At 41.8% G+C, this 13,149-nt stretch overlaps 2 long non-coding RNA genes across 8 annotated transcripts in view; one reads left to right on the plus strand and one right to left on the minus strand.

Annotated features, from left to right (window-relative positions):
* The window catches only part of SEPSECS-DT (SEPSECS divergent transcript), a 37,835-nt gene that overhangs the window by 21,550 nt on the left and 3,136 nt on the right, over positions 1 to 13,149 (plus strand). The window lies entirely within an intron of this gene.
* The window catches only part of LOC105374535 (uncharacterized), a 43,715-nt gene continuing 38,495 nt past the window's right edge, over positions 7,930 to 13,149 (minus strand). For 5 of the 7 annotated variants that reach the window (XR_925490.3, XR_001741626.2, XR_007058085.1 and 2 more), the window contains 2 exons: positions 9,403 to 9,507; positions 7,930 to 8,114 (listed from right to left, as the gene is read on the minus strand). This is a non-coding gene — a long non-coding RNA (uncharacterized LOC105374535). The remainder of the gene's footprint in view (positions 8,115 to 9,402; positions 9,508 to 13,149) is intronic. The other 2 variants (XR_007058086.1, XR_007058084.1) reach the window with 1 other exon arrangement.

The following is a 13,149-nucleotide window of genomic DNA, read 5'->3' on the forward strand; positions in this document are numbered from 1 at the left end:
CAGATTGCTTTTTTGGAAACATGAATCTGCCGGTGTGTGATGGTGAAACAGAATATGTGGCAGGGGTAGTGAGAGAAACCAGGTAAGGAGTGTTGAGACCATCCATGCAGACATTAGGAAAGCCTGGCAGCTGCAGAGGGGTGAAGAAGAGGAGAGAGTCTGGAGAGGGTTGATATGGTTAGGTTTTGTGTCCTCACCCAAATCCCATCTTGAATTGTAATCCCCGGGTGTTTAGGGGGAGATCTGGTGGGTAGTGAGTGGATTATGGGGGGGGGGGGGTTTCCCCCGTGCTGTGCTTGTGATAGTGAGTGGATTCTCATGAGGTCTGATGGTTTTATAAATGGTAGTTTCTCCTGCACTGACACACCCTCTCTCGCCAGTTGCCATGTAAGATGTGCCTACTTCCCCTTCTGCCATGATTGTAAGTTTCCTGAGGCCTCCCCAGCCATAGGAAACTGTGAGTCAATTAAAGCTCTTTCCTTTATAAATTACCCAGTCTCGGAAAGTTCTTTATAGCAGTGTGAAAACGGACTAATACAAGGGTATTAAGGGAATAGTTCTTAGGATTAGATATGGAGGTGAAGGAGGAAAAAGTAGAATGGGAGAACTCTTACCAGTTTTTGAACTCCTGAAAGATTAAGCCCTGGCTTTTCATCTCTGTACCAACCTAGCCACCTTGACAAAGTAAGTCCTCAATTTGTTAGCAGTAGAATAGAATTTCCTGGTTTTCTGTTAGAAACTGAGTCTCTGAGTCGTTTTCACATGCTCCTGGAATACCCTTCACTTTCAAGTATATAAAGCTGTTAGGAGAGTGAATTTATGACTCTCAGAAGGGCCTCCTGTTTTTGTTCATCTGCCCATTGAGCGGCTTCTTACTGAATTAATGGCCTGGTGCATGAATCACAGGGACTGCCAGTGCAGAATTGAGTGCTGACAGGTGGTTTCGGCTCTCTCATATCTCTGTTGCTGCCTTGAGTTCTAGGCAAGGGTCAGCCATGGCTGAAGCCTTCCCCTGCATCTGTCCCTGCCCCCAGGTCTCTCACAGGCATCAATAGCGTACATATTTATACTCATTCTGTAGAAAGGCCACTGTTCACGTCTCTCTGCCTACAACCCCTGAATAAATTCCTACAGCTCTACTGATTGAGGCCTTTTTAAATCATTTTTTGACTGAATGACTGAGCAAATGAAGCATTGTGCTCATGAAGTGCTAGATAGGGGAGTAGCAGACTTGCTTTCTGAAGCCAGAGTGCATTCAATGTGTTTCAACAGGAAGGCACCCAGAAGAGAAGGAAACCAGGGAACATAGGACTGAAATCTCTATAGGAGCAGCAGAGATGGTGTTAGCAGATAGTCATTCAAGAGGCAGAGATGACTTGGAGCCTCGCTGGGCAGAGAAAGCCTCACAGAGGAAAATGGGTCCCTAAAGACAGTTAGGATTTAGCCAAACATGGGGGGATTGGGGGGAGGTGTACTATTGGCCTACTAGGCTGAAGGACTCCTTTTGTGGGTCTGCTGCTTGCACGGTATGATGTTCAGAATCCCTGAACCCTGTCCACTAAGTGCAGCAGGTCCAAAATACCCCCTCCCTGGAGGGCTGTACTTCCCTGGGTGTGAATCATGGATGGATAGCAGAGGGGAGTGTGACCAAAGGGAGAAGACTAAGGTGCGGGGAAAATACGCGAGGCTTATTTGCAGACTGCTGACAGAGCATCGTGATAGTGGTAGAAGATGCACCAGGAAAACAATGTTTCAAACAGGCTGAAAATGAGGGTTATCTCTAAGTGCTAGTCACAACACGTCCAGATGACTCCAAAGGACCGTGTTAACACGAATGTCAGGCCCAATGAAGAGGTCAAAGGCATTAGCCAGGTGTCGTGGTGCATGCCTGTAGTCCCAGATACTCCAGAGGTGGAGGTGGGAGGATCGCTTGAGCCCAGGCAGTTGAGGCTGCAGTGAGCTATGATGACACACCGCACTCTAGCCTGGGTGACAGAGTAAGATGCTGTCTCAAAATCAAAGGAATGTGGTAAATATGATGTGAGCTTTGAACTTGGAACTAATTTGGAATACCACTTACCACTTACCAGCTGTTTCCTTGGGCAAGTTATTTATGTTTTCTCAGCCGGTTTAATCATCTTCAAAATGAAGATCATACTTGCTCAAAGAGTTATTGGAATTTACATAAAGTGCCAGTTTTGATTACTTGTGTTCATGTTAATTGAGGGTGTTACACATTAAAAGGACCACGACAAAATGGGCAGGACTATTTGTAGGACATTCAAGAGATCCACAAAAATATAAGATGATCTTTACTGAACTACATTACTCTACACCTACTCTGTGCTAAATGCTAATATTAATAACTTATGTATTTTATTCAATTCTACTCTGAGTTAGCCTTTAATCACTTTGTAGAGGGGGTAAATTAGGCTCAAAAAAGTTGCCTAATGTACATAAAAATTAACCATTCCAATTCTTACCTCACATTACTCATAAACAGTGATTTGAGATAGATCATTCTTCTAAGTATAAAAGCTAGAACTATAATGCTTGTAGAAAATAACATAGAACAATGTCTTTGCAACCTTGGGATAAGCAAAGATTTCTTAGAAAGAACACAAAAGCACTAACTGTAAAAAAAAAAAAATTGATACCCTAGACTCCATCAAAATTTAAAATTTATGCTCATCCAACAACACTTTTAAGAAAATGACTCTTTTTAGACAGGACACAGAAAGCATTAACCACTGAAGAAAAACATCCATCAGTAGGAAAATGGATAAATAAATTGTGATAGATGCATGGAACAGAATACCACTCGGCAGTTTAAAAATTAGAAAAAGAGGCCCAGGCGCAGTGGCTCATGCCTGTAATCCCAGCACTTTGGGAGGCCGAAGTGGGCAGATCACTTGAGGACAGGAGTTCAAGACCAGCCTGGCCAACACAGTGAAACCCCGTCTCTACTGAAAAAAAAATACAAAAATTAGCCAGGTGTAGTGGTGCATGCCTGTAATTCCAGCTACTTGGGGGGCTGAAGCAGGAGAATTGCTTGAACCCAGGAGGCAGAGGCTGCAGTGAGCCGAGATCATGCCACTGCAGCCTGGGCAACAGAGTGAGACTCCATGTCAAAAAAGAAAAAGAAAGGCTGGGTGCAGTGACTTACGCCTGTAATCCTAGCACTTTGGGAGGCCAAGGCGGGCAGATCATGAGGTCAGGAGTTCGAGAGCAGCCTGACCAACATGGTGAAACCCCGTCTCTACTAAAAATACAAAAATTAGCTGGCCATGATGGCATGGGCCTGTAATCCCAGCTACTCAGGAGGCTGAGGCAGGAGAATCACTTGAACCTGGGAGGTGGAGGTTGCAGTGAGCCGAGATCATGCCACTGCACTCCAGCCTGGGTGACAGAGCGAGACTCTGTCTCAAAAAAAGAAAAAGAAAATAGGACAAACTACTGTATTGATACATGCAATATTGTAGTTGAATCTTACTTCATATTGTTGAGATAAAGAAACCCAACTCACAAGAATTTATATTGTATAATTCCATTTTTATACAGTTTTTAAACAAGCAAAACAAATGCGTGGCAATAGAAATCAGAACACGAGTCACCTATAGGCCGGGCACAGTGACTCATGTCTATAATCCCAGTACTTTGGAAAGCCAAGGCAGGTGGATCGTTTGAGCCCAGGAGTTCAAGACCAGCCTGGGCAACATGGGTAAACCCTGTCTCTACTAAAAATACAAAAACTAGCCGGGCATGGTGACATGCACCTGTAATCCCAGCTACTTGGGGGGCTAAGGCAGGAGGATCACCTGAGATTTGGGAGGTTGAGATTGCAGTGAGCCGAGATCATGCCACTGTACTCCAGCCTGGGAACAGAGTGAAACCCTATCTCGAAAAAACAAAAGCAAAAACACAGGTCACCTGTACGGGTAGAAATTAACTGGAAGGGGAAGTGAAGGAACTTTCTGGAGTAACGAGAACATTCTACACTTTATATGAATATGGGTTACATGGGCATATACCTTTGTTAAAACTCTATGAGGAATACACTTAAAATCTTTGCATTTCACCTCACTAAAACTTTACCTTACTAAAAGGATAAACTGGGATGGGTTTGGAAGACCTCCACATTGTACTTCTGGCTTCTTTCATGATCTCATCTAGTAGTCATGAGACGCATAGCTAGCAAAGACGACTCTCCCCTTAATTCTGAAGAATGACCAATAATCCATTCCTTTTCCTGACCCCTTTGAGAATTACAAAGTGTGTATTTAATGAAAAATTAAGTAATGAGTATCTGTTAACTAAGGAAGTTAATGATGATAGGATACTTGCACATAACGTGTCAACATTTACATCATCATGAGGGCTGTAATTATATCACTGATAATATGAATAAATACAAAAGTATTTCGGGTTTTGTTTTTGTTTTTGTTTTGAGGCAAGGTGTCACTCTTGTCACCCAGTCTGGAGTGCAGTGGTATGAACACAGCTCACTGCAGCCTTGACCTCCCAGGCCCAAGTGATCCTCCTGCGTTAGTCTCCCATGTAGCTGGGACCACAGGTGTGTGCCACTGTGCCTGGCTATTTTTTTTTTCTTTTTTTTTCAGGCTGGTCTCAAACTCCTGAGTTAAGTGATCACTCCGCCTTGGCCTCCCAAAGTGCAGGGATTACAGGTGTGAGCCATCATGCCTGGTCATAAATACAAATTTTTGAAGAAACATCAGCATCTGTTTTTAAAACTAGAAGTTATTTTAAGTCTGTGCCTAAAGTTGACCATTAACATGTGTAGCTGCAAAAGGTGGATTTATCTGTCACTGTATGACACATGACTTTTAGATCAAACAACATTCATATTTTTGCTCGTTTTCCCTCATTTTTTCTTGTGTGTATAGAAAAAGTGATAGCAGTATACATGATGAAGAAAAACTTTACAGTTGAGTGGTGCTAATTGTATATCATTGCCAACAGCTTCAAATAGAAAACCAGTTCAGTCCAATAGTTATTTAATTTTTTCCACCCAGTGCGTAGGATCAAAGTAAAGCTTTTGAAGTTTATTCTCTTGAAGGTTTAATGTATGAAATTATTATGACTGTTATTCTATAATAAATTAAAATTTTCAAGCCAGGCCTGGCAGCTCACGCATGTAATCCCTGCACTTTGGGAGGCCGAGGTGGGTGGATCCCCTGAGGTCAGGAGCTCAAAACCAGCCTGCCCGTCTTTACTAAAAATACAAAAAAAAAAAAAAAAATAGCTGAGAGTAGTGGTGTGTGTCTGTAATCTCAGCTACTCAGGAGGCTGAGGCAGGAGAATCGCTTGAACCTGGGATGTGGAGGCTGCAGTGAGTCGAGATCATGCCACTGCACTCCAGCCTGGGTGATAGAGTAAGACTCCAGCTTAAAAAAATAAAAATTTCAATGCTAAAGAAAACTGATGAATTTTTGTGGTGATAATATACATACAAATTTTGAAAAAAGTAGTGTTCTTACTAAAGAGATTTACTTGCATTTGGATAATTTATAACTGCACATAATTTATAACTGCATTCAAACTCTCAAAAAATAATTCTTGTAATTATCAAAAAGAAACTGTAATTGCCGGGCTGGGCACGGTGGCTAACACCTGTAATCCCAGCACTTTGGGAGGCTAAGGCGGGTGGATCACCTGAGGTCAGGAGTTCAAGACCAGCCTGACCAACATGGTGAAACCCCGCCTCTACTAAAAATAGAAAAATTAGCTGGGCGTGGTGGCAGCTGCCTGTAATCCCAACTACTCAGGAGGCTGAGGCAGGAGAATCGCTTGAATCCAGGAGGCAGAGGTTGCAGTGAGCTGAGATCACGCCATTGCACTCCGGCCTGGGGAACAGAGCAAGACTATGTCCCAAAAAAAAAAAAATGTAATTGCCAAATATTTTTACATATGCACAGAATAACTAGATTACAAAATCTTGTGACAATGCTGACATTGAATATAAAAACATACTTCAATATGGCATTATGTGTTTTCTGTCTGCTACCTGTCATCAGTCTGATGTTTAAAAATGTTTAAGCCTTTGAATATCTATTTTATAAACCAATATAGATATTCAACCATTGTACTGAACTTTGTACAAACTAGTCCTCTTAATTTTGGTTGTATTTGTTCAAAATTGGTTGGAAACTGCTTTCTCCTTTTTGTTTATCAAGGTAATATTTATACTAATTTTTTTTTGAGACAGAGTCTCACTGTATTGCCTAGGCTAGAGTGCAATGGCGTGACCTCGGCTCACTGCAACCTCTGCCTCCTCGGTTCAAGCCCTTCTCTGGCCTTAGCCTCCCGAGTAGGTGGGATTACAAGTGTCTGCCACTGTGCCCAGCTAATTTTTGTATTCTTAGTAGAGATGGGGTTTCACCATGTTGGCCAGGCTAGTCTTGAACTCCTGACTTCATGATCCACCCGCCTCAGCCTCCCAAAGTGCTGGGATTACAGGTGTGAGCCACTGTGCCCGGCCTATTTATACTAATTTTAAGCGTCCGGGTTGGTAAATTTTGGTTATTGTGTCTAATCATTTAACCAAATCAAAAAATGGAGCAATTCTTCACCCCAGAAAGTTTTCTCATACCTGTATATATTCACTTATCTCCCCTAACCCTGGCGCCAGGCAACCATTGATTCTCTCTCTGTCCCTATGGTTTTACATGATAGAGAATTTCACATGAGTAGATTCACATAGTATGGAATCTTTTGTGATTGACCTCTTTCTCTTAACATAATATTTTTAGGATGTATCCATGTTATTGTCTGTATTATGTCCTTTCTTTGTATTGCTGAATAGTTTTCTGTGGTATGAATATATCACACTTTGTTTATCCATCTAATAGTGATGGACATTTGTGTTGTTTCCAGTTGGGACTGTTATGAATAATGCTGCTATAAACATTCATGTACACGTTGTTTTGTGGGTTTTTGTTTTTTGGGTTTTTTTCTGAGATGGAGTCCCACTCTGTCACCCAGGCTGGAGTGTAGTGGCGCGATCTCAGCTCACTGCAACCTCCACCTCCTAGGTCCAAGCGATTCTCCTGCATCAGCCTCCTGAGTAGCTGGGATTACAGGTGTCCACCACCACACCCCACTATCATGTTCATGTTTTTGTTGGACATATGTTTTTATTTCTCTTGGTAGAAATCTGGAAGTAGAATTTCTGGATCATGTGGTAATGAATCTAACTTTATAATGTAATGCCATGCCGCTAGGTACTATACCATTTTGCGTTCCTACCAGCGACGTCTGAGAATTCCAGTTGCAACTTATCTTTGCCAACACTTGGTAGTGTCAATCTTTACGATTCCCCATTCTAGTGTGTAGTGGTATCTCATTGGAGTTTTAATTGGTATTTTTCTGATGAATAATAAAATTGAGCACGTTTTCATATGCTTATAAAAAGTTTTAATCAAAGTATTTGTCAAATGAAATACCAAAATGCGGTTATTGGAAAAATCATTTGCAAACAGAGAAACTTGAAATTTATCCTTTCATAAGCACAGTGAGTACTGAACAAATTAAACAATAAGCCCTCAAATAGTATACAATATTAATGTTGAAATTCTGTAATTGCATTTTAGAATATTTCAACTTGCAGGATAAGTCATTTGCTGAAGCACCTATTTTTAATTAGATAAATTTATGTTCTGTACTGGAATAAAACGAAATTGTGGAAGCCCATAATTATGTGGAATCATAAATAGAGACAATTTATATTATGAAGTTGTTCTTATGAAATATTTGTTGAAGAAAGCTACTCTGAATGAAAACAAAAAAGACAGCATCTGTGAAAATATTGAGGCTGAAATATTTATGCATTTCAATGCACAAAAACATAGAATGATGAATATCCTTGTATTAGTTTGCTAGGGCTGTTATAACAAAATATCATAGACTGGGTGACTTAAAACAACAGTAGTTTATTTCTCACAAATCTGGAGGCTGGGAAGTCCAAGGTATCAGCAGGTTTGGCTTCTTCTGAGGCCTCTCTCGGCTTGCAGACGGCCACCTTCTTGCTGTGTCCTCACGTGGCCTTTCCTCTGGGTAGGTTAATCCCTGGCATCTCTTTGTGTATCCAAATTTCCCTTAGAGGACACCAGTCAGATTGGATTAGGGGCTACCCTCATAAACTCATCTTAACTTAAGCACCTCTATAAAGCCCCTATCTCCAAATAGGGCCACATTCTGAAGTACTGTAGGTTAGGACTTCACCATATGAATTTGAAAGGGCAGGATACAATTCAGCCCATAGCAATCCTCCATTTAGCAGACCAGGTTCTGACATTCCTTTAACTTCCATATAATGCAGGAGGAGACATGACCACAAACGTCTGGTGAGAGATAAAAGTCAGGCAGAAAGTAGCGCCCTCTGCCCTGCAATCAGGAACCACCCTGTGTTATGTGCTTTGCTGCATGTCACTGTTGATCTGTCAGGCTCCAAAGTCTACCTATTGAGGCCAATAATATCTACCTGACCCTCTCACATTGGCATCTTTTAAAAAATAGTTTTATTTCTACTGTTTATAAAATACATGCTCATTGCAAAATAGAAATAAAATGCTAGTGAATAATACAAAAGAAAAAAAGGATCGCCTCCAAAACACACCCAGTGATAGCCACTGTTACCATGCTGGATATATGTCCATCAGAATGTTTTCTCTATACAAACAACTTGTATGCTTTTAATATAAAAAATAGAAATCACAATATATACTCTTTTTCAGCTTTTAAAATTGCATATATTTCAGATGTACAATGTGATGTTTTGATACACATGTGAACATGGTCCAGCATATGAACATATCTATGCCCTAACGTAGTCAGCTTTCGTTTTCTACTTAACATCATGGACATCTCTCCTTTCAATAAATAGATACTTTAAGAACTATTAAAGGCCGGGCATGGTGGCTCACACCTGTAATCCCAGCACTTTGGAAGGCCAAGGCAGGAGAATCGTTTGAACCTGGGAGGTGGAGGTTGCAGTGAGCCAAGATCGCGCCACTGCACTCCAGCCTGGGCAACAAGAGCTAAACTGTCTCAAAACAAACAAACAACAACAACAACAAAAATCCCAAAATTTAGGCTGGCTACCCCACCTGACCCCAAGACTAGATTGTACTTAGATTCATTGGAACATGGTAGAAATTTCAGGACCAAAAGCAGCAAAGACCACTCAGTGCTAAGCAGAGTTCAAGCATTTGCCCCTACTGTTTGCAACCCTCTGCCTAAATGTAGGATACCAAATGTTGCTGAGCCTCAAGTTAGGGAAACTCTCTCAGTGATCTGGGAGTAGACAAGGGGCCTCTGGTATTCTGCAGGTCTGTTTCTGCAGGCCTGCGGAGATTGTCTTTCCAAGGTGGGAGCTGCCCTTACCTCTTTAATTTACTTTCCTCCAGGCTGAAATTGTGAACCTTGGCCACTCCCAATTAAAATTCTCTTCTCTCATTTGGGACACTGAAGGGCATCTTTCACCCCCAGCTGTCAAATAGAAACATAGAAAGCAACTCAACATAGCCTTCAACAACCAGGAACTGTAGAAAAAGAATTTGCAAACATTGCACATTCTCCTTTGTTGCTTCAAATATGTGGTATCTTCTAGGAACTGGGCCCAGAGGTGAGTGAATAAGAAAAGCAGATGTTTGTCCTAGTCTGTTCATTCCATCTCCAAACAAGATAAATATTACAGGGTAAAAGGATCATCAGCCCAGTAACACAAAATCCTCTTTTTTTTTTTTTTTTTTTGGAGACATAGTCTCACTCTGTTGCCCAGGCTGGAGTGCAGTAGCACGATCTTGGCTCACTGCAACCTCTGCCTCCCGGGTTCAAGTGATCCTCCTACCTCAGCCTCCTAAGTATCTGGGATTACAGGCACCAGTCACCATGCCCAGCTAATTTTTGTATTTTTAGTAGAGATGGGGTTTCACCATATTGGCCAGGCTGGTCTCGAACTCCTACCCTCAAGTGATCTGCCCATCTCAGCCTCCCGAAGTGCTGGGATTACAGGTGTGAGCCACTGCTCCTGGCCTTATCTTCTTCTTCTTCTTCTTCTTCTTTTTTTTTTTTTTTTGAGACAGGGTCTCACTCTGTAACCCAGGTTGGAGTGCAGTGAAGTGATCTCAGCTCCTTGCAACCTCCACTTTCCAGGCTCAAGAGATCGTCCCACTTCAGCTTCCCAAGTAGCTGGGACCACAGGTGTGTGCCATCACGCCCGGCTCATTTTTTGTATTTTCGGTAGACACTGGGTTTTGCCATGTTGCTCAGGCTGGTCTCAAACTTCTGAGCTCAGGAGATTCACCTGCCTTGGCCTCCCAAAGTGCTGGTATTTCAGGTGTGAGCCACTACACCCAGCTATCAACGAAATCCTTTTAAATAAGTGCTAGGTATTCCACTGCCTAATACAAACTGTGTCATAACTTATCTCTTATTGATAGATCTTTGAAGTTATTTCCAAATTTATTACACAATACGTCAATGAACATCTTATACATATATTTTGCATTCTTGTCTGAATATATTTTATTAGAGCTGTGTGCAGTGGTGCCTGCTTTTACTTCCAACTACTTGGGAGGATGAGGTAGGAGGATCACTTGAGCCCAGGAGTTTGAGAATAGCCTGGGAAAAAAAAAAGAAAATATATACTTCCTTAAAATATATTACCAGAGGTAGAATTTATGGGTCAAATAGGATTACATCCCAGAAATATTATACCAATTTATATCACTTCAGTTGTCTTGGGTCTATATCTAGGAGTGAAATTGATGGGTCATTTGGTAAACCTATATTTAACTTTCAGAGTAACTGCCACACAGTTTTCCAGAGAGTTTTTATAGTAACTGTTGAACAGTTTTTCAGAGCAGCTGCACCATTTTATATCCTCTCAACAGTGTATAAGGGTTCTGTTTTTTTTAATTATTCATTCATTTTTTTTAAATATAAAGATGGGAGTCTTACTATGTTGCCTGGGCTGGTCTCAAACTCCTGAGTTCAAGCAGTCCTCCTACCTCAGTCTCCCAAAGTGCAGGGATTATAGGTGTGAGCCATTGCACCAAGGGTTCTAATTTTTTCACATACTGATCAATACTTGTTATTATCTGGCTTTTTTTTTTTTTTTTTGAGACAGAGTCTTACTCTGTCACCCAGGCTGTAGTGCAGTGGCATGATCTCAGCTCACTGCAACCTCTGCCTCCTGGGTTCAAGCGATTCTCTTGACTCAGCCTCCCGAGTAGCTGGAATTACAGATGCCTGCCACCACACCTGGCTAATTTTTGTATTTTAGTAGAGATGGGGTTTCACCATGTTAGTCAGGCTGGTCTCAAACTCCTGACCTCAAATGATCTGCCTGCCTCAGCCTCCCAAAGTGCTGGGATTACAGGTATGAGCCACAGCGCCCGGCCTATCTGGCTGGCTTTTTTATTATAACTATACTAGTAAGTATGATGTGGTATCTCACTGTGATTTTGGTTTGCATTTCTCTAATGGCTACTGAGGTTGAGTATCTTCATGTGCTTATTGGCCATTTGTAAATCTTCCTTTAAGAAATTTCTAAGGCCAGGCACAGTGACTCACACCTGTAATCCCAGCAATTTGGGAGGCTGAGGTAGGTGAATTGCTTGAGGCCAGGAGTTGAAGACCAGCCTGGGCAATACAGTGGGACCCCATCACTACAAAAAATTGAAAAATTAGCCTGGTGTGGTGGCAATGCACCTGTAGTCTCAGCTACTCAAGGGAACTGAGATGGGAGTATCTCTTGATCCCAGATGGTTGAGGCTGCAGTGAGCTATGATTGTGCCACTGCACCCCAGCCTGGGTGACAGAGTGAGATACTGCCTTACAAAGAAAGACTAAGTCTAACTTCAAATGGGATGGGGAGGTACATTCTTCCCACAGCTGATTATATATAGGTAATTAAAAATCCAGTCTATCACATAAGTATTTTATATATATTAATTTGTTTAATCCTCTCAACAATTCCCTGTTGCTATCTTCATTTTACGGGTAAAAAAACAGAGACACAGAGAGGTTAAGCAATAGCTCAAAGTCACACAGCTCATAAGGGCAGAGCTGAAATGCCTGATTTTAAGACCAGGAGCTCTAGCTCTATTGTCCATGCTCTTTTAAGACAACTAAAGGGGACAAGGGAATTTGTGGTGGAAAACTAGGACTGGTATAACCAGGCCCCACTTTCCAAAGGCACAATCACCACCACTATGACTATATCACCCTCATTTTACCCCAATTAGGATCAAATCTCACCCACCCACTTACTGATATTTTAGAAGGGCAAAAGAAAGAGGTAAGGGAAAAATGAAGATGAAGGTGAATGAAATGAAATGAAAGTTACCAAAAGCCCAAAAGGATAAGTCATTTGCCACTTCTTACTTCAAAATTGTTAACAAGAGATAAAGCATAAGCACTGCCCAATTCGATGCCAACTAGAAACTGCTGCTCTACCTGTACTGGTGCCCTCTGGCTCAGAATCAGCCCTGTCCTTAGCCTTGCCCTCCAGAGTAGATACCTTTTTGTGGAACTATTGGAGAAAGAAGGTATTTTTTTTTCTGAGTTTGCCGAGAGGACAAACTACTGGCAGGTATTTTGTTACCTCTAGAGACTGGCTTGTCTGAGAATGAAGCCACTGTAGAGGAAAGCAGGCAAGACAGGAAACAGGCAAACCAATTCTTTGACACTTTTGAGCTCCTGGATCTAGCCACGTCTGAAGTCAAATATGACCTAGATTTTCAGTTGTGTGAGCTAACCAATTCCTTTTTTTTTTTTTTTTTTTTTTTTTTTTGAGATGGAGTCTTGCTCTGTCGCCCAGGCTGGAGTGCAGTGGTGCCATCTCGGCTCACTGCAAACTCCGCCTCCCAGGTTCAAGCAATTCTCTGCCTTAGCCTCTTGAGTAGCTGGGATTATAGGCACCTGCCATCACGCCCAGCTCATTTTTGTATTTTTAGTAGAGATGGGGTTTCACCATCTTGGCCAGGCTGGTCTTGAACTCCTGATCTCATGATCCACCCACCTCAGGCTCCCAAAGTGCAGGGATTACAGGCATGAGCCACCATGCCTGGCCATCAATTCCCTTTTTATGGATAAGAAGTTAAGCTGAATTTCTAATATTAAAAT

The sequence above is a fragment of the Homo sapiens genome, chromosome 4, assembly GCF_000001405.40.
Source record: "Homo sapiens chromosome 4, GRCh38.p14 Primary Assembly".
Lineage (NCBI taxonomy): Eukaryota > Metazoa > Chordata > Mammalia > Primates > Hominidae > Homo > Homo sapiens.